This window comes from Homo sapiens, chromosome 14 (genome assembly GCF_000001405.40).
Source record: "Homo sapiens chromosome 14, GRCh38.p14 Primary Assembly".
In the NCBI taxonomy this organism is placed as follows: Eukaryota; Metazoa; Chordata; class Mammalia; order Primates; family Hominidae; genus Homo; species Homo sapiens.
In genome coordinates this window covers 22,893,204-22,919,184 of record NC_000014.9, presented here as the reverse complement: position 1 = coordinate 22,919,184, position 25,981 = coordinate 22,893,204, and the positions used below count along the sequence as shown (strand labels likewise).

The window sequence follows — 25,981 nt, the reverse complement described above, 5'->3', positions numbered from 1 at the left end:
GCATGCGCAGATTGGGGAAGGTTCTGGAAGACGGCAGAGCTGCCGCCATTTTGCGGGAAGAGGAGGCTCTGTACCTGCAGTGCTGCTTTTCTTGCCTAGACTCTAGGAACTATCCGAGCTCCACTCCCCACAACATACTCAAAGGAACGGAGAGAACCGGGACCCCCCTGCGGGGACCCGGAACTGGTGAGAAACCCCAAAACCCGGTCCCCACCAGACGTCACCAATGCGTGACGTTGCTGCACGGCGCCTCCCCCCTGACGTCACGGGCAGAAAATGGCGTCACGAAGAGATTCAGGCGAACTTTTAACATTAAAAAAACCTTTGTTTGTTTTGACCTGGAAGTGTTAGCTACTTAAATGTAGCCCACTGCCACGATTTTAGAGTTGGGCACCCTCGTGGCTGTATCTTGCACCGATAAAGATGCGGTTTCTAGAATCCTGTGATTTTTCTTTCCGGGTCTCTGCAGCCGTGACACTTAGGGTCGCCCACACTGGAGAGGGAGCATCGACCCTCCGCGGCCTGAGAGGACACGCATCATCAGTTTCAGCCACTCGCACCACCATTCAGAGAGAGAGAAGGGAATTGAGCTTTCTTCCTCAATCTCTAGTCTGTCGAAGATTCATGTTCACTATGTTGACCTTTATGGGCTTTTCCCATTTAACTTTTTCAAGCACTCATTCCAGTAGGCGTATTATGATGCCACATATGAAGATTGAGCCCTGGGACACTGGCTCCCGCAGAGATTGTGCCAGTTGGTTGCCTATAGGACCTCTTTTTTTTTATTTTTTTAAGGCGGAGTGTCGCTTTGTCACCCAGGCTGGAGTGGAGTGGCGCGATCTCGGCTCACTGCATCCTGTCTCCCGGGTTCTAGCGATTCCCCTGCCTCAGCCTCCCGAGTAGCTGGGATTACAGGCGCCTGCCACAACGCCCGGCTAATTTTTGTATTTTTAATAGAGATGGGGTTTTGCCATGTTAGCCAGGCTGACCTCGAACTCCTGACCTCAGGTGATCCACCCGCCTCGGCCTCCCAAAGTGCTGGGATTACAGGCGTGAGCCACCGCGCCCGGCCTATAGGACCATTTTTTAAAGCTACACAACATGGGGAGGGTGGTCCTTCAAGTAGCTTTTATCGTTCTCATTGTTCCTCTTTTGTTAAGCTGCCTTCAGTTTGTAGGTGTTTGTGCCCAGCTAAGTGATCAGACCCTGGGGATGGCGCTACCATCACCCCTGGGGCTCCAGCTTTTCGTGAATTCTTCCCGAATTGGTCTGACAGTGGTTCTCTCTGCTCCTTTAGCAGTGGGGTCTATCTGTTGGCTTGTGCTATGACGAGGTCTAGGAACTGACGTGATTGTGGGTCTCTAATACTGTTTTTGGAGCAGGATGGAAGAAAACATACTCTATGTGGATGAGATTGAGTGGACCTTGACCCATAAGTTGGGACATGAAGAGAGCGTTTGAAAACTACCAACCTGGGCCGGGTGCAGTGGCTCACGCCTGTAATCCCAGCACTTTGGGTGGCCGAGGCGGGCGGATCACGAGGTCAGGAGATCGCGACCATCCTGGCTAACACGGCGAAACCCCGTCTCTACTAAAAATACAAAAAAAAAACAAAAAAGAAGAAAAAAGAAAAAACTACCAGCCTGAAAATGCATAGTGTTTGCTACCTTATTGCTTTTAGCACATCTAGAAAGACACTAAACCCAGTGAGATTGCAAGTTTCAAAATATTGTGTTGTATATGGCTTTGCTTAAACGGATATATTTGTTTCTGAGTGAAAACTTTTTACGTAGAGGTTTATTTGTAGAGGCTTGTAAACTTAAGTGTAAGTTTTAGTGTGTGTGTTAAGTTGTTCTTACCCCGCATTAGCACTCAACAATGAGCAGTTCTTGAAATCAAGCATTTCATTTGGAGGGGAAAAAGCAGATTGTAAAAAATAGTTCATAACAGAAAATTTGTGTAGACTTGGCAGCAAAAATGACTGAAACAGCTTGAGTATAAAAAACTTTTCTTTTTAGGCCGGGCTCGGTGGCTCATGTCTGTAATCCCAGCCCTTTGGGAGGACCAGGCAGGCGGATCACCTGAGGTCAGGAGTTCGAGACCAGCCTGACCAATGTGGAGAAACCCCGTCTCTGCTAAAAATACAACATTAGCCAGGTGTGGTGGTGCCTGCCTGTAATCCCAGCTACTTGGGAGACTGAGACAGGAGAATTGCTTGAACCTGGGAGGTGGAGGTCGCAGTGAGCCGAGATTGCGCCATTGCACTCCATCCTGGGCAACAAGAGTGAAACTCTCTCAAAAAAAAACAAAAACAAACTTTTCTTTTTAGAACTATTTTCCCATAGTGTATATTAGTCTAATACCTTTAAGCATACACTGTACATGCCTCAGATATAGGAGACTCACAATGAGGTTTAGCTAATGGGACTGATTATTTTGATAAACATATGAGAAGAACATTCATGTTCAGTGAGTATATATTTAAAAGTAGGTATCTTGGTATACTGTGTCCTTTTTTTTTTCCTTTAAAGTTAATTACAAACCATATGAGAAGTAATCTGATATAATAGATATAATGTTAGATTTGAAGTCAGAAAACCTTTCTGATCAAGAATTAGCTCCTCTGGCCAGATGTAATCCTAGTACTTTGGGAGGCTAAGGTGGGTGGATCTGTTGAGTCCGGGAGTTTGAGACCAGCCTGGGCAACATAGTGAGACCATGTCTCTACCAGAAAAAAAAAAAAAGCCCAAAATATGAAAAGTTAGCCTGGCATCATAGTGCACACCTGTGGTCCCAGCTACTGGGGAAGCTGAGGTTAGAGGATTGCTTGAGCTAGAGAGGCAGAGGTTGCAGTGAGCCGAGATTGCAACATTACACTCCAGCTTGGGCAACAGAGTGAAATCCTGTCTCAAAAAAAAAAAAAAACATTCTTCCCTTTGAGCTGTGTGACCTTCTCTGTTTTGGGGATTGAGACAGAATCTCAATCTGCTGCACAGACTGGATTGCAGCGGCATGATCACAGTTCACTGCAGCCTCAACTTCCTGGGTTCAAGCGATCCTTCCATTTCAGGCTCCTGAGTAGTTGGGACTACAGGCACGCACCACCATGCGTGGCTAATTTTTATATTTTTTGTAAAAATGGGGCCTCACTGTATTGCCCAGGCTGATTTTGACTTGGCCTCAAGCCATTCTCCAGCCTTAGCTTCCCAAAGTGCTGAGATTGCAGGCGTGAGCCACCCCCTCTGCCTGGCCCTTGAGCTATGTATGACTTTGAGCAGTTCAAAAAACGTTAGTTTTAAAAAATTTGGGTATGAATCATATATTACCTGTCTGCAGCATTTGTTACCTTTGATTGCTAAATAAATATAAAGTGTTACTGGAAGAAGTAGAAGGCCGGGCACAGTGGCTCATGCCTGTAATCCCAGCACTGGGAGGCCGAGGCAGGCGGATTACCTGAGGTCAGGAGTTTGAGACCAGCCTGGCCAACATGGTGAAACTTTGTCTCTACTAAAAATACAAAAATTAGTGGGACGTAGTGGCGGGCACCTGTAATCCCAGCTACTCAGGAGGCTGAGGCAGGAGAATCGCTTGAACCTGGGAGGCAGAGGTTGGCGTGAACTGAGATTGTGCCACCGCACTCCAGCCTGGACAACAGAGCTAGACTCCTTCTCAAAAAAAAAAAAAAAAAGCCAGGCATGGGGCTTATGCCTGTAATCCCAGCACTTTGGGAGGGCGAGGCGGTCGGATCACCTGAGGTCGAGAGTTCGAGACCAGCCTGACTAACACGGAAAACCTGGTCTCTACTAAAAATACAAAATTAGCTGGATGTGGTGGCGCATGCCTGTAATCCCAGCTACTCAGGAGGCTGAGGCAGGAGAGTTGCTTGAACCTGGGAGGCAGAGGCAATTGAGTTTACTGGTTTTTATGTATACCAATTTGATTTGGGTTTAATTTCCATTTAAGCCTTAAATTTGGCTCCAAGTAATTTTTCTCTAAGAATCTTCTCTCTCCATAACATGCTTAGCACAGTGTCTAGCAGTTGTAGGTACTGTAAGTCATAGAATCATAGTTGTAATTATTACACTTATTTAATTGTCAAAATAGGATATGGACTCTTAGGGCAACCAAGGCAGCATTGTTGCATAGTGCATTAGCTGCTTTAAAGAGGACAAAGTTCCTCTTTTTTTTTTTTTTTTTTGAGATGGAGTCTTACTCCATCTTACACCCAGGCTGGAGTGCAGTGGTGTGATCTCGGCTCACTGCAACCTCTGCCTCCCAGGTTCAAGCGATTCTCCTGTCTTAGCCTCTTGAGTAGCTGGGACTACAGGCGCCCACCACCATGCCCGGCTAATTTTTGTGTCTTTAATGGGGATGAGGTTTCACCATATCCGTCAGGCTGGTATTGAACTCCTGACCTCAGGTGATCCACCCACCTTGGCCTCCCAAAGTACTGGGATTACAGGGTGAGCCACCACGGCTGGCCAACAAAGTTCTTACAGTTATGAAAAAGTCTGATTATGATAGCCTCCTTGCATAGAAATTCCTCAGGTTTTTTTTTTTAACGGCATGATTGAGGTACATTTAATGGGCACACGATAAAACTGTATACATTAAAGTGTACACTTTCATGCGTTTTGATATGTTAAACACCCGTGAAACCATCACTCCCAAAGATTTGTTTGTTTTTGTATTTTTGAGACAGTCTCGCTGTGTCATCCAGGCTGGAGTGCAATGGCGTGATCTTGGCTCACTGCAACCTCTGCCCTCTGGGTTCAAGCAATTCTAGTGCTTCAGCCTCCTGAGTAGCTGGGATTACAGGTGCTTGCCACCACACCCGGCTATTTTTTTTTTTTTTTTTTTTGAGACAGAGTCTTGCTCTGTCACCAGGCTGGAGTGCAGTGGCACGATCTTGGCTCACTGCAACCTCTGTCTCCCGGGTTCAAACGATTCCCCTGCCTCAGCCTCCTGAGTAGCTGGGACAACAGGCGTGCGCCACCATGCCCAGCTAATTTTTGTGTTTTTAGTAGAGATGGGGTTTCACCATGTTGGCCAGGATGGTCTCGATCTCTTGACCTTATGATCAAACTGCCTCGGCCTTCCAAAGTGCTGGGATTACAGGTGTGAGCCACCATGCCCAGCAAATTTTTTTTTTTTTTTTTTTGAGACAGAGTCTTGGTCTGTCACCCAACCTGGAGTGCAATGGTGCCATCTCGGCTGGCTGCAACTTCCGCCTCCCGGGTTCAAGCAATTCTCCTGTCTCAGCCTCCCAGGTAGCTGGGATTACAGGGATGCGCCACCATGCTTGGCTAATTTTTGTATTTTTGTATTTTTTTTTTGAGATGGAATCTTGCTCTGTCACCCAGGCTGGAGCACAGTGGCGCGTTCTCGGCTCATTGCAACCTCCACCTCCTGGGTTCAAGCAGTTCTTATGCCACAGCCTTCCAAGCAGCTGGGACTACAGGTGCGTGCCACCACGCCTGGCTAATGTTTTGTATTTTTAGTAGAGATGAGGTTTCACCATATTGGCCAGGCTGGTCTCAAACTCCTGACCTCATGACCGTGCCCAGCCTTAATTTTTATATTTTTAATAAAGACGAGATTTCACCATATTGTCAGGTTGGTGTCAAACTCCTGACCTCAGGTGATCCACCTGTCTTGGCCTCCCACGGTGCTGGGATTACAGGTGTGAGCCACAACTCCTGGCCCCAAAGTTGGTCCCAAAGTTTTTCTTGTGCCCTTTTAATTTTTTTTAATTTTTTTTTTTTTTTTTTGAGACGGAGCCTTGCTCTGTCGCCCAGGTTGGAGTGCAGTGGCGCGATCTCGGCTCACTGCAAGCTCTGCCTCCCAGCTTCATGCCATTCTCCTGCCTCAGCCTCCCGAGTAGCTGGGACTACAAGCACCCGCCACCACGCCCGGCTAATATTTTGTATTTTTAGTAGAGACAGGGTTTCACTGTGTTAGCCAGGATGGTCTCGATCTCCTGACCTCGTGATCCGCCCGCCTCGGCCTCCCAAAGTGCTGGGATTACAAGCATGAGCCACCGCGCCCGGCCTTCTTGTGCCCTTTTAAAATCTTTTTCTCCCAGCCCTTCCCCTTACTTCTATCCCTAGGCAACCATTGATGTGCTTTCTGCTTTCTTTGATATAGTGATTAGTTTGCTTTTTTTTTTTTTTTTTTTTTTTTTTTGAGACTGAATCTCACTCTGTCTCCAGGTTGGAGTGCAGTGGCACAATCTTGGCTAACTGCAACCTCCGCCTCCTGGGTTCAAGTGATACTCCTGCCTCAGCCTCCCGAGTAGCTGGGCCTACAGGCGCGTGCCACCACGTCCAGCTAATTTTTGTATTTTTAGTAGAGACGGGGTTTCACCATGTTGGCCTAGATGGTCTCGATATGTTGACCTCGTCGTTGACCTCGTGATCTGCCCGCCTCGGCCTCCCAAAGTGCTGGGATTACAGGCATGAGCCACCGCGCCTGGCCTAGTTTGCATTTTTTAGAATTTTATGTAAATGGAATTGTTCATTGTGTACTTTTTGTGGGGGGGGCTGGTTTCTGTCACTCCGTGTAATTATTTTGAGATTCATCCATGTGTGGGTTGATAATTCCAGACCAATAACATTTGAATAATTTATCCTATTGGTTTTCTTTGGTATTTTCTGTTTTTCTTATTTGACAAACTGGTGGTAGACAGCCTGGGGAGAGGCAGTTTCTAGATGTGAAAGCTTGGGGAGGCACGTTTTACCTTGCCTGCCAGAGAGAAAGGTTTCAAGATGGGATTAGTCGAGCCTGTCTTAATCATCATATTTCTGAGTTACCTAAACTGTAGTTGGTATTGGTTAGAAAATGCTCAGGGATAAGGCCCTAATTATTGGTGTTCAGGGTATGCGGAGAGGAAGACGTTAGGGCAAATCTGCATTTTGGTGTTGCTTTGACTTGCTTCTGATTTTTAGTCGTGCCTCTTTATCTTTTTATTGGACATAATGTGCCTATATTTGTTTATTATTTTTTCGTTTTATATTTTTCTCACATCTGTAGCAGCCAGGCCTGTTTTTATTATTTGAGTTTAAACCAGGTATTTATTCAGAATTTTGAACAGTAGAGTGGAGACCTAATGTCTATTTTATAGTGAACAGTAGTTTGGCCACCATCATTTTCTCTTCATAGAACAGGATCAGTGTTGTATTTTGTTTCTTCCTAGATACTCAGTTTTCTTCTATATCCTTGACTATTTTTTTATGTATTGTTTTTTGTGTTTTTTGTTTGTTTGTTTTGTTTTTGAGACAGGGTCACACATTGCTGCCCAGGCTGGAGTACAGTGGCGTGATCTTGGCTCACTGCAACCTCCACCTTTTGGGTTCAAGTGATTCTCCTGCCTCAGCCTCCTGAGTAGCTGGGATTACAGGTGTGTGCCACCACACCCAGCTAATTTTTATATTTTTGGTAGAGGGGGTTTCGCCATGTTGGCCAGGCTGGTCTCAAACTCCTGACCTCAGGTGATCTGCCTGCCTTGCCCTCCCAGAGTGCTAGGATTACAGGTGTGAGCCACTGCGCCCGGACTATCCTTGACTGTTCCAAGCCACAAAGTCGAACTAGTTCAGATCTATAGGGTGTAAAAATAAACCTAGAGTAAGTGACAGCTGGTAAGGTTTCTTTGCAGTTCAAGAAACAGAACTGAAATCTGTATATCCTGAAGTCTCTTTCTTGGAGTGGGAAAGAAATGTGTGGTGCTGGAAAGGGAGGAAAAATATAAAACAGATTCTTACATATTAATATCCTCTCCCCAGATCTGACAGGATGGCATCTGATGACTTTGACATAGTGATTGAGGCCATGCTGGAAGCTCCCTATAAAAAAGAAGAGGTAATATTTTCCACCTCACTCCTGGAATTGGGTTAATGAGAAAGAGTAGTTGTCGATCATCACTTTCAACTTTCAACATTTTATGAATCCTCTTTCCCTGCTTATTTATTATGTAGAATAACTAATCATAAAAGGCATAGTCTTAGTAAGCTTTGCTGGAGACTATGGTTAAGAGCCATACTTTTAGAGACAACCTCAGAAACCGGAGTGGGCACATAATGTGGTGTTGGTAATCTGTGCTTTGCTCAAAACTCGAAGTGACACAGTAGAAAGTCACTGTACCTCAGACCTAGCACCAATTTCTTTTTTTTTTCTTTTGAGACAGAGTCTCGCTCTGTTGCCAGGCTGGAGTGCAGTGGCACAATCTTGGCTCACTGCAACCTCCGCCTCCTGGGTTCAAGCCATTCTCATGCCTCAGCGTCCCAAGTAGCTAGGATTATAGGCAAGCACCACCATGCCCAGCTAATTTTTGTATTTTTAGTAGAGACGGGGTTTCACCATGTTGGCCAGGATGGTCTTGATCTCCTGACCTTATGATCCACCCACCTTGGCCTTCCAAAGTAATGGGATTACAGGCGTGAGCCACTGCGCCCGTCCCAGTTTCTTTTTTAATATATTTTTTATAGAGACAGGGTCTTGCTATGTTGCCTGGGCTGGTCTCGAGCTCCCAGGCTCAAGCGATCTGCCTTGGCCTCCCAAAGTGCTGGGATTACAGGAGTGAGCCACTGCACCTGGCCCACTTAACAGCAATTTGCTTGCTTGCTTGCTTGCTTTTCCCTCCCTCTGCCCTCTCCTCCCATCCCTCCCTCCTTCTCCCTTCCTTTCCCCCCCACCGCTTTCTTTTTTCCTTTCTTTTTTTTTTTTTTTTTTTTTTTTTGAGATGAAGTTTCACTCATTGCCCAGGCTGGAGTGCAGTGGCGCGTTCTCAGCTCACCACAACCTCTGCCTCCGGGTTCAGGCGATTCTCCTGCCTCCCAAGTAGCTGGGATTACAGGCATGTGCCACCACCCCTGGCTAATTTTGTCTTTTTAGTGGAGATGGTTTCTCCATGTTGGTCAGGCTGGTCTGGAACTCCTGACCTCAGGTGACCCGCCTGCCTTGGCCTCCCAAAGTGCTGGGATTATAGGTGTGAGCCACTGCGCCCAGCCTCTTTTTTTTTTTTTTTTTTTTTTTTTTGAGACAGAGTCTCACTAGGCTGCCCAGGCTGGAGTGCAGTGGTACAATCCCAGTTACTGCAACCTTTGCCTCCCAGATTCAAATGATTCTCCTGCCTCAGCCTCCCAAGTAGCTGGGACTACAGGCGTGTGCCACTATGCCTGGCTAATTTTTGTATTTTTAGTAGAGATGGGGTTTCGACATGTCGGCGAGGCTGGTCTCAAACTCCTGGCCTCAATTGATCCGCCTGCCTCAGCCTTTAAAAGTGCTGGGATTACAGGCGTGAGCCACTGCCCCCAGCCTAGCACCAATTTGTAACTCTCCTGGGAAATGTTAGTGGAGCAGATGTTGGGTAACTGAAGTTTGACATCAAAATCTGTCATGCTGATCTCTTCCTTTTAGGTAGTTTCCTTGATTCCTTTCTTACTCCCTTTGTTAGGAAATAAGGGTGCTGAAAATCTGGCTAGATAATCAAGTGGTTTGATTTATTCCTTGTCCACCTTTGTTCCCTTTGCCCATTGGAATCTGTGTGTCTGCCACCTTATACCTTGTGACATTTTCCTGGTGAATGCCTCAGGATGAGCAACAAAGGAAAGAAGTTAAAAAGGATTATCCTAGCAATACCACCAGCAGCACCAGCAACAGTGGCAATGAGACCAGTGGAAGCAGCACCATCGGGGAGACAAGCAAGTGAGTGTGGGAGGAAGAAATGGGTTGGCAACTTGGGGAAGGGAAACAGTTTTGTCCATTGGAAAAATAACCAGAATAGGGAGATTGTTTCTGTTAAGACTGCTGACTGTTAGTAATGGCTCCACCTAGGTCATGAGAATAATGGTGACTTGATTTAATTATCTAGTCTTCATTTTCCAGTGTAGATTTGTGGATTAGTCCTAGCATCAATATACTTCATTTGAATAAAATACCAAGAGGGGCTGGGCGTGGTGGCTCACACCTGTAATCCCAGCACTTTGGGAGGCCGAGGTGGGTGGATCACCTGAGGTCAGGAGTTCGAGACCAGATTGACCAACATGGTGAAACCCCGTCTCTACTAAAAATACAAAAATTAGCTGGGCGCGGTGGCAGGCTCCTGTAATCCCAGCTACTCAGGAGGCTGAGGCAGGAGAATTGCTTGAACATGGGAGGCAGAGGTTGTAGTGAGCCGAGGTCGCACCATCGCACTCCAGCCTGGGAAACAGAGTGAGACTCTGTCTCAAAAAAAAAAAAAATAGCAAGAGGACCCCTGATTTGGAAACACCAGGTTTTGCTTCGCATTAGGGGGAAAAATGGCCTCTTCAGATGCCTGACAGCTTTCAGGGCTGTAAGTTGGTATTGTGCAATTGCTGTGAACCACTGCTGGATCATCTTCGGGTCTTTGGTTTTTTCATGCTTTCTGTTTCATTCTGGCCTTACTGTAATTCCTTTTCTTTGGCAGCAATAACGAAACCTTCTCTTTAAGAATTTACACTCCTGACCTGGCGCGGTGCTCACGCGGGGCTCATGCATGTAATCCCAGCACTTTGGGAGGCTGAGGCAGGTGGATCACTTGAGGCCAGGGGTTCAAGATGAACCTGGCCAACATAGCGAAACCTTGTCTCTACTAAAAATATAAAAAATTAGCTGGGCATGATGGTACATGCCTGTAATCCCAGCTACTCAGGAGGCTAAGGCATGAGGATCGCTTGAACCTGGAAGGCGGAGGTTGCAGTGAGCCAAGATTGCACCACTGCACGACAGAGCGAGATTCTTTCTCAAAATTAAAAAAAAAAAAAGAAGAATGTACTCTCTTTCACAGGAAGAAGAGGAGTCGGAGCCATAATAAAAGCAGGGATAGAAAGCGCAGGTCAGTAATTCTGGGCCAGGCACAGTGGCTCGTATCTTTAATCCTAGCACTTTGGAAGCCAAGGCGGGAGGATCACTTCAGGCCAGGAGTTCAAAACCAGCCTGGGCAACATAGCAAAATCCTGTCTCTACAAAAAATTTAAAAATTACCCAGGTGTAGTAGTACATGTTTGTACTCCCAGCTACTTGGGAGGCTAAGGCTGGAGGATTGCTTGGGCCCAGGAGTTCGAGGTTGCAGTGAGCCGAGATTGCAGCACTAAACTCCTGCCTGGGCAACAGATGGAGAACCTGTCTCAAAAAAAATAAAAATAAAAATAAAAAATTGAAACATTTAGCTTAAAACACAAACACATTGTACAACTCTACAAGTTTTCTTTATGTCCTTATTCTATAAGCTTTTTTCTATTTTTAAATTTTTTTGTCTTTTACTTTTTAAACATTATTGTTATTGTTGAAAACTACGACACAAAGACACATGAGCCTAGGCCTGCAGAGGGTCTTTCACCTCCACATCTTGTCCCACTGGAAGGTCTTCAAGGGCATTAATACACATAGAGTTGTACTCTGCTGTAACAGTGCTTTCTTTAGGAGCACCTTCTGAAGGACCAGCCTAAGGCTGTTTTATAGTTAACCGAAGTAGAAGTAATATATTCTAGAATGATAAATATAGTAAATACATGAATCAGTGACATCATTACTTTTTATCGTGAAGTATATACTGTACGTAATTGTTTTATTTTTAAACAATTTTTAATTGATACATATTGTATGTAGTTTCTGGTATGTGTGAAATTTAATACATATAATTTGTAAAGATCAAATCAGTGTACTTGAGTTATCCTTGACCTAAATGTTTATCTTTTCATGATGCTAGGAAACATTCAAATTATTCTCTACTAGCTATTTTGAAATGTATAATAGATTATTGTACACTGTAGTAATAACCCTACTGATTTGTTGAACACTGGGTCTTATTTTTTCTTTTTTTTTTGAGACCGAGTTTCGCTTTTGTTGCCCAGGCTGGAATGCAATGGCGTGATCTTGGCTCACCGCAACCTCTGCCTCCCAGGTTCAAGTGATTCTCCTGCCTCAGCCTCCTGAATAGCTGGGATTACAGGCGTGTGCCACCATGCCTGGCTAATTTTTTTGGTTTGTTTTTTGAGACAGAGTCTCACTCTGTTGCCCAGGATGGAGTGCAGTGGCGCGACGTCGGCTCACTGCAACCTCCGCCTCCCAGGTTTAAGAAGTTCTCCTGCCTCAGCCTCCTGAGTAGCTGGGATTACAGTTGCGCACCACCACACCTGGCTAATTTTTGTATTTCTGGTAGAGATGGGGTTTCACCATGTTGGCCAGACTGGTCTGGAATTCCTGATCTCAAGTGATCCACCCATTTTGGTCTCCCAAAGTGCTGGGATTACAGGCGTGAGCCACCGTGCCTGGTCTAATTTTGTGTTTTTAGTAGAGACGGAGTTTCTCCATGTTGGTCAGGCTGGTCTCGAACTCTCGACCTCAGGTGATCTGCCCGCCTTGGCCTCCCAAAGTGCTGGGATTACAGGCGTGAGCCACCGCGCCCAGCCCTGGGTCTTATTTTTTCTATTAAATGACATATTTGTATCCATTCATCTACTTCTGTTCATTCCACCCACAGCCGCCATCCTTCCATCCTTCCATCCTTCCCAGCCTCTAGTAAACACTAGTCTTTCTATCTTCATGAGATTCACTTTGTACATAATTGGATGTGCTGTATTTTTATACAACTGGGAGTGCAGTAGGTAATAGTTTGGTTTACACCAGTATCACCACAAACACATAAGTAATACATTACGACATTACAGTGGCTGTAACATCACTAGGTTATACGAACTTCTCAGCACCGTTATAATCTTATGGGACCACTGTTGTATATGCACTTGGTTGTTGGCCTAAACATGATGTGGGCATGACTGTAGTTGTTTCCCTCTGTAGTCGTAGTCGAGATCGGGATCGGTATAGACGGAGAAATAGTCGGAGCCGAAGTCCAGGTCGGCAGTGTCGTCACCGTAGCCGTAGCTGGGATCGTCGACATGGTAGTGAGTCGCGAAGTCGGGACCATCGTCGTGAGGATCGTGTGCATTACAGGAGTCCTCCACTTGCCACTGGGTATCACTTTTTGCTAATAGATTCACTTTTGTATAATAATCTGGATAAAACAACAAATGCACTATGAACCCTGCTTGAGGGTGCTTATTATAACACATTGTGATTGGCAGGATACTCAGGCACAGAAAGGGTTGGTATTCAAAATTTACTGGTGTGGTGGCTCATGCCTGTAATCCCAGCACTTTGGGAGACTGAGGCCAGAAGATCACTTGGGCTCAGGAATTCAAGACCAGCCAGGACAACATGGCGAAACCCTGGTTCTACAAAAAATGCAAAAATGAGCTAGATATGGTCATGTGTGTCTGTAATCCTAGCCACACAAGGAGGCTGAGGTGGGAGGATTGCTTGAGCCTGGGAGGCAAAGGTTGCAGTGACCCGAGATGGCGCCACTGCACTCCAGCCTGGGTGACAGCGGAAACCCTGTCTTAAAAAAACAATGAGATGAAGTACTGGAATCTGGTTTTCTCACCATGGAAGACCCAGCATTGGACCAATGAGAATAAGGTTTCACCTTTTGTTTTTCTCTATTCTTTAGTTATAGGTATGGACACAGTAAGAGTCCTCATTTCAGAGAGAAGAGCCCAGTCAGGTGGGTTGATAATGAACACTGTTTTAGGGATTGTGAGGTATGAATAAAAGGTTATTTGAGCCAAATTACAGGAATGTGTAATACTTGAGGGTTAGCTGGAGAACAATGACCAGGTATTGGGAGGGCTGGTCTCAACACATTTCACTCTTCAGGGAGCCAGTTGATAATCTGAGTCCTGAGGAGCGTGATGCCCGCACAGTTTTCTGTATGCAGTTAGCTGCCCGAATTCGGCCTCGAGATCTGGAGGACTTTTTCTCTGCTGTAGGCAAGGTAACCCTCCCACCTTAGTTTTCTTCTGAGTAGCTTAGCTTGTATCTCCCTTTATGCCTAACTCAGGATTTCTTTTGCGTCCTGGATAGGTTCGCGATGTACGTATCATCTCAGATCGGAACTCACGTCGTTCTAAGGGCATTGCCTACGTGGAATTCTGTGAAATCCAGTCTGTGCCACTGGCCATTGGGCTGACTGGGCAGCGGTTGCTGGGAGTGCCTATCATTGTACAGGCTTCACAGGTGAGCAGGCTGAGAAACAGACATAAGATTTTAAGGGGAGAGGGAATGTGGGACATGACCCATCATTTCCTCCTTCCCCAGGCAGAGAAAAACCGACTGGCAGCCATGGCCAACAACCTGCAAAAGGGCAATGGTGGACCAATGCGCCTCTATGTGGGTTCCCTGCACTTCAATATCACTGAAGACATGCTCCGGGGCATCTTTGAGCCCTTTGGTAAAGTGAGTAGAAGTGAGAGAAACCTCTGAAGGGAATTGGAAGAAGTGGGGAGGGTGAGTGTTTGAGTGTACTTCTCTGTTGTGCCTGGCCGTGATTAACCTGCTGCATACGTCATAGTGGGCATATGAGTCTATGCTGTGAAAGTTTGGCTCCATCTCTGTTCATGTGCTTGGTGGACAAATAAGTTAGACACAAATCAAATAATAGGCCAGGTTAAGAAAGATTAAAAAATACAAAAATTAGCCAATGTGGTGGTGCACGCCTATAGTCCCAACTAGTCGAGAGGCTGAGGTGGGAGGGTCACTTGAGCCTGGGAGGTCAAGGCTGTAGTGAGCCTCGGAAAAAAAAAAAAAAGTCCACCTTTTACCAAAATATTTCTACTGACTAATCTTTTTTTTTCCGAGACAAGGTCTCACTCTGTCACCCAGGCTGGAGTGGGTGAGACTTTTTGAGACTCTGTCTCAAAAAAAAAAAAAAAGCAGTCTGGGTAGGAAAGATTGAAGATGTGGGCTAGTCAAAAGTTTACTGATAATTTCTCACTCTTCTACAGATTGATAATATTGTCCTGATGAAGGACTCAGATACAGGCCGCTCTAAAGGTTATGGTTTCATCACGGTGAGTCTCTAGTCTTTTAATTTTTTTATTTTACTTTGGGTTTGTCCACTTGTCTGATTTTGCAGCTTAGCTTCATCCTCCTCCTTTAGGAACTGTCTAAATGACCCATAAACCCTGGTGCCTGAAGCTTGGACTAGCCTTCTACCCCTTGAGATGAGTGCATTGCTTGAGATCTTGGCTTTGCTCCTACACTCTGTCAGTGGCCCTGGTATGGGGGTGTTCAGGAGTTCACCCAGCTTCCCTGGTGCTGCAACTTGGCTCTTTGGGTAATAGTAACCAGGCTGCAGCTAAAAGGTTGGGGGTGTGAGGGAGGTTAGGTATGGGCTTTTAAAGACATGCTTTATAGAATTGATGTTTCTCATAACAGGGATGGGAATAGGAAATTATACTTCCCTCTGGTGCTACCCCATTTGAAGCAATTTCTGCACCGAGAAGGATCAGTTATTAACGTAGCACTATGGGGAGAATAGTGAGGCCACCTAATTATGGGCAAGCTTCACCTTTTCCTGACATTCCAACAAAATGGTTGCCAATTCCTATAACTGGTTCTTCCAGCCCCATGTGACTCCAGGCTGAGAACTGGCTGCCAGCCACAAAGTCTGATAGAAGCTTGTATTTTCTGGGCTTAAACCAGGCAGCATACACTCCCACAGTGACCCACAGGGCAGAGGGCAGTAGGTTGTATTCTGTCATTGGAATTGCTCACCTCAAAAATATCCAGTAAAGGCAAGCCATGTATAACACCTGCCTAGGAACTGTCAGTACCACATGCCAGGCCCTAAGGCAGGTAATGCTGCTAGCTAGCTAAACAAGCTAGCTGTGGTGTTGACAATTCTGTGGTGGCAAGTAACTTTTGTAACCTTTTCTCGCTCTCTGTGTGACTGAGATATGGAAAGGCTTCTGTGGGGCATTTTTGCCCTTGCATTGTTGCCTTTTGGGTCAACAACCTTGACACTTAAACAAACAGCAGACTGGGAATCCTCTTTGTACCAGTGTGTTGCTGGGTGCTGCTGATAAAAGGGACTAGAGAGTAAAGGCCTTCTGGTCAGCAGGTCACTTAGTCAACAGCTCTTGTGTGTATGTGGGGGTGTGGGTTCTGCCTTGCTGTCAGCACTAGGGTGTGTTCCCTCTTAAGCCTGGAATTAGGAGTTCCAGATTCCTAGTACTTAACTAAAATTTGGCCAGGCGCGGTGGCTCACACCTGTAATCCCAGCAGTTTGGGAGGCCAAGGTGGGTGAATCGCCTGAGGTCAGGAGTTCGAGACCAGCCTGACCAACGTGGTGAAACCCCATCTCTACTAAAAAATAAAAATAAAAAAACTAGCTGGGCATGGTGGTGGGTGCCTGTAATTCCAGCTACTCGGGAGGCTGAGGCAGGAGAATTGCTTGAACCCAGGAGATGGAGGTTGTAGTGAGCTGACATGGTGCCACTGCACTCTAGCCTCAGTGACAGAGTGACAGAGTGGGACTCCGTCTCAAAAAAAAAAAAAAAAAAAAAAAAAAAAGACTAAAACTTACTAGGATAGAGAACTGAATTAAAAGCCCAGGAGCCTTGTTCTTAGCTTGTCTTCCATTTGATATACCCATTTGTGAAATAACTTGTCAGGCTAGGTTTCCTACAATAATAAAATTTTGCATTGTTAGATTCTTAATGGAGCTGAAAGATTGAAAAGTGACTGCCATTGAGTCCATTGGAAAAGGTCCTTTTCAGAGAACCATTTTGAGGTGATGGGCCTAGGTCATATTTTCTGGGAAAGAAAAGTTTGTACCTCAGTGAGCATACAATTTTCCTGGGATAGTAGGACTAGGGAGTGTTACTGGGTCTTTGAGAGCATGTCTTTGGTGAGTAGGTGACTAACATGGCCTGGGTTTCTCATAGTTCTCTGATTCTGAGTGTGCCCGGCGGGCCCTGGAACAGTTGAATGGGTTTGAGCTTGCTGGTCGACCTATGAGGGTTGGCCATGTGACTGAGCGACTGGATGGTGGCACAGACATCACTTTTCCTGATGGGGACCAGGAGCTGGATCTGGGATCAGCAGGTGGACGTTTTCAGCTCATGGCAAAACTGGCAGAAGGTAAAATATCTCCGCAAGGTGAAGATTATGGGGTTGAATTTTAGATGAAGGGTTGGGGCTTAATCCCACCTTTTCTTTTCCTTTTAGGCGCTGGAATCCAACTGCCAAGCACTGCTGCTGCTGCTGCTGCCGCCGCCGCCCAGGCTGCTGCCTTGCAACTGAATGGAGCAGTTCCCTTGGGGGCCCTGAATCCAGCAGCTCTGACTGGTAGTCTTGGACATGGGAAAGGAAGGGAAGGTTTGGGGGTCTGGAAAGAAGGAGTGCGCGGTGCTTGCTCACTCACTCTGCCTGTCTTTGTTCTAGCTCTGAGTCCAGCCCTGAACCTTGCCTCCCAGTGTTTCCAGCTCTCCAGCCTCTTTACCCCCCAGACCATGTGAGTCTCAGGGTCTAGCTCATTCTAGCCTTTGATTATTCTCTTTCCTTTGGCTTCCCATTTACCTCTTCTTTCCACAGGTAAATCAGTGGCACAGTATACTGCCTCCTTGTGCCTCTGGATCCTGCCACTTCACATCTACTCTTCCATGGCCCCATTTCTCCATTTTGTGGACCAAGCCATCCTGAGGGCATGGACATTGTCTCTGAGGAAATTGGGGCCACCCTTAAGATACCAAGAAAAGCTCCTGCCCATGGTCCCACTGGAAATGGACTCTGCTGAGCAAAGCCACCAGTTGAAGAGAACAGAATCCACACCTGCATTGAATACCTGTTTCTCCATGTGTATCGTCTCTGAGATTACCTTCTTGCCCTTTCCAACACCTTAGTGATTCCTCAATTTCTCCCCCATTGGGAAGGCCATAGGGCATACTGAAGGAACTGACCTCTCTCCTTTTCCTGTACCTTTAACCTTTAGTCTGTCAAGGAAAACCCTTAGGACCTCTGAATCAAGAGGACTGAGTTTGTGGGTGAACCTTGAAGGTGCTCTTTCTGCTACAAGGGCCCTGGGAGATAGCATGGACGTGCATTGAGAAGCCAGCCTCAGACCTTAGCTTGAAGCAGCTTGAGGCCAGACCTACTGTAGCCTCAGCATCTTGCTAGGAGGCATGGAAGTGATCTATCCTGCCAGGAGGCCTCAGAGTGATCTGTCCTGCCAGGAGGTGTGAGAGTGATCTGTCCTGTGAGGCATTTAGGGGCTTTCAGGAATTTAGTAAAAGGTGGAGTATGCCTTTCCAGTATCTTCCATCTTCCTTTGTATACTTGTCCTTCCTCCCATTTCCTCCCTTTGGCCCGAGGTAGGAGGATGGAGGGAGGCTGCTACTCTACCACTTCCTGTGTGCCTCTACTGTGGCCTCAACCCTGGCAATTATAGCTACTCCCATCCCTTACCTGGGCATGTGTGAGCCCTTCTCACTGGATTTTATACCCTTGTGTCTGTGTACATAAATATATATACATATATATATACATAAAAACTTTGTACAAAAGGCAAGCCTCCTCCTTGTGGCAGCTGTTGCCCATTTGTGTGTGGTCTTTGTTGTGTGTCTGACAACTTCTCATTAGCCCAACTTATGATGTTTCTAGGGATATAAAACATTAGTAACATCATTGTGTTTATTTATTTAACCACCTTTAGAAAGAAAAATGAAAACTCACACCTGGGTGGGGTTCCCATTCTGTATCTGCATTACACTGTTGATCTATGGTTGTCTTCTCCATCTATCTTCATCCTAACTATCTCCATCCCAGCTACCCACTGGACAGAATTACCCAAACAGCCAAGTTGCAGCACCAGGACAGACTTAGACTTAACAGGCTCCTTCTCTGTGCCTAATGACAGATCTTTCCAGCAGATGGCACTATGACAGTACTGCATTCTACACTTGTTTTTTTCTAGTGGGGCGGGGCGGGGAGGGGGGGGGGTTGTGATCTTGAAGAGTTAAGTACCAGAGCTAAGCTGAGCTTTCTTAACTCTATTGGCCTTTGTACCTGCCTTTGACCCTCTTTGTAGTAGCGATCCCAATCCAATATCCAAAGGGGTTTGGGTCTTGTATAACAGCAGGGTTCTCCTGACCTGATGTCTACTGTTGTTCCTCTGTCAGTCCCCTCAACTCCTGCTTTCCATGTGGCTCTGCCTGGGATAACACAGGCCTGGGACCAGTGAATTGTAGGGAACTGAGTATTCCAGAAATACCTCTGTGAAAGGGAAGGTGCACCTACCACTGCCTTAATAATAAGGGGGTGGGAGAGAGGCTGTCTCACCCAGCTTAGGGACCAAATGAGAAGGCCTGAATTCAGGGGCAGGGCTCTGTGGGGCTCCTTTTTTGATCTCTATGGCAACAAAATGCTAAGACTTTCTTATGCTAAAAATATGGATAATTGCTGTTAGGTTTTAATTTGTCAGCTCTCAGACTTCTAAGCCAGTGATGTTAGCCTCTGGGGTTGCTTTTAACACAAAATCATTTAAATACTTGAAGCCTGCTTGAGTCATAAAAGGCCAGTGGGACTCTAGCTCCTAAGTCTGTTTGCTGCTTCTGTAACAATAGCACAGACTAATTTGTAAAGAAAAGAGGTGTAGGCTGGGTGCACTGGCTCACGCCTGTAATCCCAGCACTTTGGGAGGCCGAGGTGGGTGGATCACGAGGTCAGTTCAAGACCAGCCTGGCCAACATGGTGAAACTCTGTCTCTACTAGAAATACAAAAAGTAGCTGGGCATGGTGGTGGGTGCCTGTAATCCCAGCTACTCAGGAGGCTGAGACAGGAGAATCGCTTGAGCCTGGGAGGCGGAGGTTGCAGTGAGCCGAGGATGCACCACTGCACTCCAGCCTGGGCAACAGAGCGAGCCTCCATCTCAAAAAAACAGAAAAGTGTATTTCTCACAGTTCTGGAGGCTGGGAATTTCAAGAGCATGGTGCCTGCATCAGGTGGGGGTCATCCCATGTCAGAAGGGCACAAGGTAGAAATGAGTACATGAGACAAAGGGACCATGGGCCAAACTTGCTTTATAACAGCCCTCTCTCATGATAACCTGCTGTGTGATAGTGACATTAATCCACTCATGAGGGCTCTGTCCTTGTGACTCAGTCACCTCGTATTAAGCCCCATCTTCAACACTGTTGCATTGGGAGTCAAATTTCCAATGTGAACTTTTGGGGGACACATTCAAACCACAGCATTTCTGATTCTTCCAGGCCTAGATCTCACATGATGTTGCTGTTCTCCTGGTTACCACCCCCATCCCTTCCCCCATCTTATCCTAGTTTGCTTTCTGGACCGGGGGAAAAGGGAAGGAGGATGCACTATTTTTAGGTAGAAGCTGCTGGCTATGACCCAGCACCCCTACAGTTATTGATTTGGCTTCTAATGTATCTTGAGAAGTGCAGTGGGTACCGTTTTTGTTAGTCATCCTGAGGCCATGAACTGGGTCTTCTCATGGCTGGCTTGGCTCCTTCAGACTATTATAAATATCCACAGGCCTTGCCTCCCTGCCTTCCTCTGCTTGGTTTCCTTATGTTTCCATCCCTAGCTACCTTGGCCTTCCTACACTCGGATCCTTCCACCTCAGTTCTTTCTTGTTCTTAGTTCCTCACATAGCCTCTTGCTGGGAGAGAGACAATGTTGGAAGTAAGGACGTATCTAAGACAATTTCCAGTCTTACTCCATATAAGGTGATGGTATCTAGTGAGTGACAGTTGCTGTCCGTGTGTGACTCAGTGCCTTCTTGTTACTCATCCCTCCATACGAGGTGGTTAGAGTGGAGAGAAGCGGGCTGTGAACAGACTCTGGGCCCAGCTTAAGGTAAAAGAAACTTCCCTCAACATCTACCTGCACATGGTGGCTGGTGGCGTAGGGGTGACATTGTGATCTAGATCCTTTGCCAGCATAGTTAGAATTTCCCTACCAGTCTTCAGTTCTAGAAAAGATTCTCACCTGATTTTTGACTTCCAGTCTATGCTTCTGTATTCACTAAGGTGGCAGCATTTCCTCCCTGTTCTTTAAACTGCTGTGCTCTTGACACAGGAATTCTGCCTGCTTCCTCAGACTCCCAACAACCCCCAGATAGGAGTTACCAGTAGAAGCAGAGGCTTGACCTGTGAACTTTTAGTCCTGGAGCATATCATGAAGGGAATTGAGTAAAAACCTGAAGGATGGAATTATATCACAGTCCCTCTTTTCCGTGTAATGGAAAGGCTTTAGTGAAAATCAGGCAGCAACACTTGGACAGTGAAAAGAGACTCTGAAAGGTGAGGTGACAGGAGGTGGCATAATGGTCATTGTTAACATTTATGCAAGGTTGGTTGTAGGTTAGGTGTTCTAATCGTGTATTAAGTCACAAAATCCTCACAACAATCCTCTCAAGTAGTTTATTATCTTTACTTTGTAAACAAGGAAACATATCCAAATAAGTTAAATAATTTTCCCCATAAGCACAAAGTTAGCAAGTTAGGGATTCCAATCCAAGTACTCTCGCTTCAGATCCCTTGATCTTAACCTTACCTGCCTCTCAGCACCACCATGGAAGACAAGGCCTTGGAGTCAGTGAGGAAGTGTCACTTTTCCTATCCCTGTACCCATAGCTCTCCGTAGACTCAGAATTTTTCCACTGCCATGTCTTTGCTTATCTTGAGTGACAGTGTTTGTGGGTGAACCTTGAAGGTGCTCTTTCTGCTACAAGGGCCCTGGGAGATAGCATGGGCATGTGCATTGAGAAGCCAGCCTCAGACCTTATCTTGAAGCAGCTTGAGGCCAGACCTACTGTAGGCTCAGCATCTTGCTAGGAGGCATGGGAGTGATCTAACCTGCCAGCTATCTCTCTTCCTTTCCTCCTTCTGCTGATCAAAGTCCTGTCCTTTAAGACCCTGAAGCTTTCCTAGGTGGAGTTGATCTCTCTTTTCAGTATTCTTTGTCCTCTTGTGGGTCATCTTACTCTACTTTTATTTAGTAAATAAAATAATTGCAATAAAAATTATTTTATTGAAAACTCCATTACTTGATGGTTACAGCCTGATGAGGCCAGACTTGGATGTCTTTCTCATGATTGCTTTGCCTTGCACATATTAAATGTCTGTAGAATTGAATGAATGCTGTTCATTAAAGTGTTAAAGTCAGCACCAGGCTTTCCAAAGGCTGCCCCTTCTAGGCTGCTTTTCCCAGCAGCCTCATCCATTCCTTCCTCACTCCACCAGGAGAGAAGATGCAGCTTTACTCTTTCTGATGTTACCATGGTAGCCTGTGATACTTTCTTTCTAAAGTGCTGCTTGCCATCCACCAGAGACTGATGTTTCCATGGCAACCAGGTGAAGGCAATAGTCACGAGCTGGATGCAGGAAAGGAATTCCGGTCTGAGAAGCTGCATATCTGAATCTTCTAGCTTCAGACATCCTTTCCCCTCTCTCATAACTTTTGCGCTTTATATCCAGGACTGGTTTGCTCTCTGGTGTGCCCTTGGTTGAGAGAGCTCTGTGAAAGTGAGGTGAAGCAGACCAACCAACTTAGATCACGTGGGAAGGTGGGTGCAAGGAAAGAGCTGAGCAAAGATCACTTCAAAAAGTTGGATGAAGTCTATTAGTTGTTCAGATGATCTGCTCTCAAGAGCCCTTAAGGAGTTGGCTGGAGTTTCTGGAGAGCCATTAAGCAGTTATTTTTGAGAGCAATGGGTAGATGGATGAGGTGCCTGAAGACTGGAAAGCAGCCAGTCAGTGCCGGATTGTAGAAAGGAGAAACAATGACCTTGGAAATCGGAGACCCGTCAAACTTGCCAATGTTCCAGAAAGGATGGGAGTTTCAGTCAGCTTTCAGGCATCAGGAAGCCTACTTGCTTAGAATTAGTGGTGCTAAGAATTCGCCTCCTCAACTCCTGAGCATAAGCAAGCTAGGGGACCTCCACCCTGTAGCCGAGTGTCACACTCTGGAACCACACAGCATGGTTCAGATCCCTCTTCCCTCACAAACTAGCTGAATAAGCTTGGGTAGGTTACTTCACTTCTCTCACACTTCATCTGTAAAAAGGAAATGATAACACCTATCTCATAGGGATGTTGTGAGAATTCATTGAGAAAGGTTTGGAACTTGGCTCATTACTGTCCTCAGTATTTTCACTCCTCTGGATGCCTACTCACTTGATTTTCTAGCTGACTTCATTCTCCCCAACTTTAGAGCTCAAGGTTTATGGGGAAAAGCAAGGGCAGTGCAATGGTGAAAATAAATCTTCATTTTTAAATAAATAAATTGTTCCTGCACTGAAGCCCCAAGCTTACAAGGTCTTGGGTCACACACAACCTGCCTAGTTTTCAGGAAAACAGATCCCACTAGCCCAATCTCTTTATGCTTGAGGCTCTGTCCACATAGTTAGATTTTAACCAGATGGTTTCGAAAAATCAAAATGAGCCCCCCTCACAGGTACCTTCAAGGTACCTAACACCATTAGCTTTGTCTGGCAGGGGAAAAATACCAGGGCACTCAGTTTTGTTTTGTTTTGAGACAGGGTCTGGCTCTGTTGCCCATGCTGGAGTACAGTGGTGCCATCACAGCTCACTGCAGTCTCAACCTCCTGAGCTCAAATGATCCTCTTGATTAGCTGGAACTACAGGTATGTGCCACTATGCCCAGCTAAGTTTTGTATTTTTTGTAGAGATGGGGTCTTGCTATGTTGCCCAGGTGGTCTTGAACTCCTGGGCTTAAGTGATCCTCCCTCCTTAGCCTCCCAAAGTGCTAGGATTATAGGTGTGAGCCACCACAACTGCCTGAGAGCACCCTCTGTTACCACCCTTTCCTTAGCGTCTCAGCCTCCCCCAAGCACCTGTCTTTGTTGGTCTCCAGAGCCTAGCCCTACACTGGCATTTTCCTTTCTGAATAAGTATTTTTTTTATTTATTTATTTTTATTTTTTCTTTGAGATGGAGTTTCGCTTTTGTTGCCCAGGCTGGAGTGCAATGGTGCGATCTCGGCTCACCGCAACCTCTGCTTCCTGGGTTCAAGTGATTCTCCTGCCTCAGCCTCCTGAGTAGCTGGGATTACAGGCGTGCGCCACCACTCCCAGCTAATTTTGTATTTTTAGTGGAGACAGGGTTTCTCCATGTTGGTCAGGCTGGTCTCGAACTCCTGACCTCAGGTGATCCACCCGCCTTGGCCTCCCAAAGTGCTGGGATTACAGTCCTGAGCCACTGCACTGGGCCTTATTTATTTATTTTTAATTAATTAATTAATTTTTTTTGAGATGGAGTCTTGCTTTGTCGCCCAGGCTGGAGTGCAGTGGCGCAATCTCGGGTCACTGCAAGCTCTGCCTCCCAGGTTCATGCCATTCTCCTGCCTCAGCCTCCCAAGTAGCTGGGACTACAGGCACCTGCCACTATGCCCGGCTAATTTTTTGTATTTTTTAGTAGAGATGGGGTTTCACTGTTTTAGCCAGGATGGTTTCGATCTCCTGACCTAGTGATCCGCTCGCCTCGGCCTCCCAGAGTGCTGGGATTACAGGCGTGAGCCACTGCGCCCGGCTGGGCCTTATTTATGTATTTTTCTGAGACAGAGTCTCATGCTATCACCCAGGCTGGAGTGCAGTGGCATGATCTCTGCTCACTGCGATCTCTGCTCACTTCAACCTCTGCTTCCCGGGTTCAAGTGATTCTCCCACCTCAGCCTCCCGAGTAGCTGGAATTACAGGCACCCACCACCATGCCTGGCTAATTTTTGTAATTTTTTTTAGTAGAAATAGGGTTTCACCATGTTGGCCAGGCTGGTCTCTCTCTTGACCTCAAGTGATCCACCCACCTCGGCCTCCCAAAGTGCTGGGATTACAGGCGTGAGCCAATTGCCCGACCTGAGTAAGTATTTTAAATCAGCACAGGTCCTCTGCTTAAAGTCAAGTTGTAATTTGAACACAAAAATGGAAAATCATGCAGTAAAATACCATCGTGGAGCTTCAATTGCCAATCTGTCCCCCAACCTTCCATCAGATGACAAAACCCAAAAAAGTGTTACCCGTGAGTCCTATGGAAGGCACGTTGGACTTTGTAGACCATAACTTAAATTTTTATCTCCAAATGGTGCTGTGCTTTGAGAGTTTAGCAAGCTGCTTTGATGCCTAAATAAAGGGCCAGGACATAGGTTGCAAAAGGCATTACTACTTCCACCGCTTCTCTGTATAATGCTTGAGAAATTACAAAGATCTTTGCTCTTTTATTTAGTCCTCATGACTTCGCTATAAGGTAGGTATTCTTCATTTTAGAGTTGGGATAGCATAGCTGAGTTCAGCAAACCAGACAGGTTAAGAGTGACTTCATCCACAGACCCCCATCCAGGAAACATCCTGAGCACTAATTGAAAAGCATTCAAGGGCTTACTGAATTTGCATTCACATCTGGAGTTTTCAAGGCCACTAAGCTGTGGAAACTTGACATCAATATTCAAATAGATGAAAAGGGACCTTAAGCATATCCATCAGGGAGTCACCGAGATGATAAAGGCCTGAGAAGCAGTATGCTCTTGTCCGGCATTTGTGTCCTTTGACGACTGCACCATCCACCCAAATTTTGCTGCCTTCTTTATAGGAAGGGCCTTTTCCTCATGTGGTGGGCTGCCCACTGTTTCTTCTCTGTGCATTTGCTCATGTAGTTTGACCACAAGGAATGCTTTTCCTTCTTTCTCTCAACTATCTATAGCCTACATATCCTTTAAGGCCCAGTTTCTAAAATATGTCTTCCAAATTTACTGTTTCTTCCATTCAGAATTCCTGGAGCACATGAGGTAGCCCCCAGTTAGATAGAATGTGGTATTGTTTGCTGCTATTTTGCCTGTTTTGTGCTGTATCACCTCATCCATCTCCCCAGCTTAATTGCAAGCTATTTGACGGGCAGAAATTGTGTCTTATTTGTATTTGTTTTCCCCATTGGGCCCGGCACACTGATTGGCATATTGCAGATGTTTAGTACTTGAGAGAAACAAAATGTCTTCTAGCATTTGTGGATGAAAGATTAAAATGTCCAGGAAAATTTACTTAGATTGATGTGGATTGAAACTATATTAGATTAATAAAAAGATGTGTGTGTGTGAA

The 25,981-nt window shown here is 46.0% G+C and overlaps 1 protein-coding gene across 20 annotated transcripts, besides 6 other annotated features; it reads left to right on the top strand.

The window, feature by feature from the left end:
• Positions 36-25,981, top strand: RBM23 (RNA binding motif protein 23). 20 transcript variants are annotated; one of them, NM_001352766.2, is made up of 16 exons: positions 36-186; positions 2,019-2,157; positions 5,364-5,461; positions 7,782-7,857; positions 9,590-9,702; positions 10,805-10,852; positions 12,817-12,990; positions 13,526-13,579; positions 13,732-13,849; positions 13,939-14,091; positions 14,173-14,310; positions 14,859-14,924; positions 16,803-16,998; positions 17,086-17,205; positions 17,302-17,371; positions 17,452-25,981. In NM_001352766.2, exons 4-16 carry the CDS (start codon positions 7,792-7,794, stop codon positions 17,453-17,455), a joined length of 1,320 nt encoding a protein of 439 aa, NP_001339695.1. In that variant the 5' UTR covers positions 36-186; positions 2,019-2,157; positions 5,364-5,461; positions 7,782-7,791; the 3' UTR covers positions 17,456-25,981. The 20 variants fall into 20 exon arrangements, with proteins under 20 accessions (NP_001339695.1, NP_001339692.1, NP_001339693.1 ...); NM_001352763.2 differs by lacking the exons at positions 2,019-2,157; positions 5,364-5,461 and adding an exon at positions 7,282-7,399; NM_001352764.2 differs by lacking the exon at positions 2,019-2,157 and having other exon boundaries at positions 5,340-5,461.
• Positions 222-291: an enhancer, noted in NCBI's record as "active region_8153". NCBI's record gives its function as "activates an Ori minimal core promoter by ATAC-STARR-seq in GM12878 lymphoblastoid cells {active_cell/tissue: GM12878}" and the evidence as "EXISTENCE:reporter gene assay evidence [ECO:0000049][PMID:35858748]".
• Positions 382-491: an enhancer, noted in NCBI's record as "active region_8152". NCBI's record gives its function as "activates an Ori minimal core promoter by ATAC-STARR-seq in GM12878 lymphoblastoid cells {active_cell/tissue: GM12878}" and the evidence as "EXISTENCE:reporter gene assay evidence [ECO:0000049][PMID:35858748]".
• Positions 562-731: an enhancer, noted in NCBI's record as "active region_8151". NCBI's record gives its function as "activates an Ori minimal core promoter by ATAC-STARR-seq in GM12878 lymphoblastoid cells {active_cell/tissue: GM12878}" and the evidence as "EXISTENCE:reporter gene assay evidence [ECO:0000049][PMID:35858748]".
• Positions 1,220-1,984: an enhancer, noted in NCBI's record as "H3K4me1 hESC enhancer chr14:23386410-23387174 (GRCh37/hg19 assembly coordinates)". NCBI's record gives its function as "activates a minimal SCP1, AML or CMV promoter by ChIP-STARR-seq in naive H9 embryonic stem cells {active_cell/tissue: H9 hESC(naive)}" and the evidence as "EXISTENCE:reporter gene assay evidence [ECO:0000049][PMID:30033119]".
• Positions 18,641-18,710: an enhancer, noted in NCBI's record as "active region_8150". NCBI's record gives its function as "activates an Ori minimal core promoter by ATAC-STARR-seq in GM12878 lymphoblastoid cells {active_cell/tissue: GM12878}" and the evidence as "EXISTENCE:reporter gene assay evidence [ECO:0000049][PMID:35858748]".
• Positions 18,728-19,465: an enhancer, noted in NCBI's record as "OCT4-NANOG-H3K4me1 hESC enhancer chr14:23368929-23369666 (GRCh37/hg19 assembly coordinates)". NCBI's record gives its function as "activates a minimal SCP1, AML or CMV promoter by ChIP-STARR-seq in naive H9 embryonic stem cells {active_cell/tissue: H9 hESC(naive)}" and the evidence as "EXISTENCE:reporter gene assay evidence [ECO:0000049][PMID:30033119]".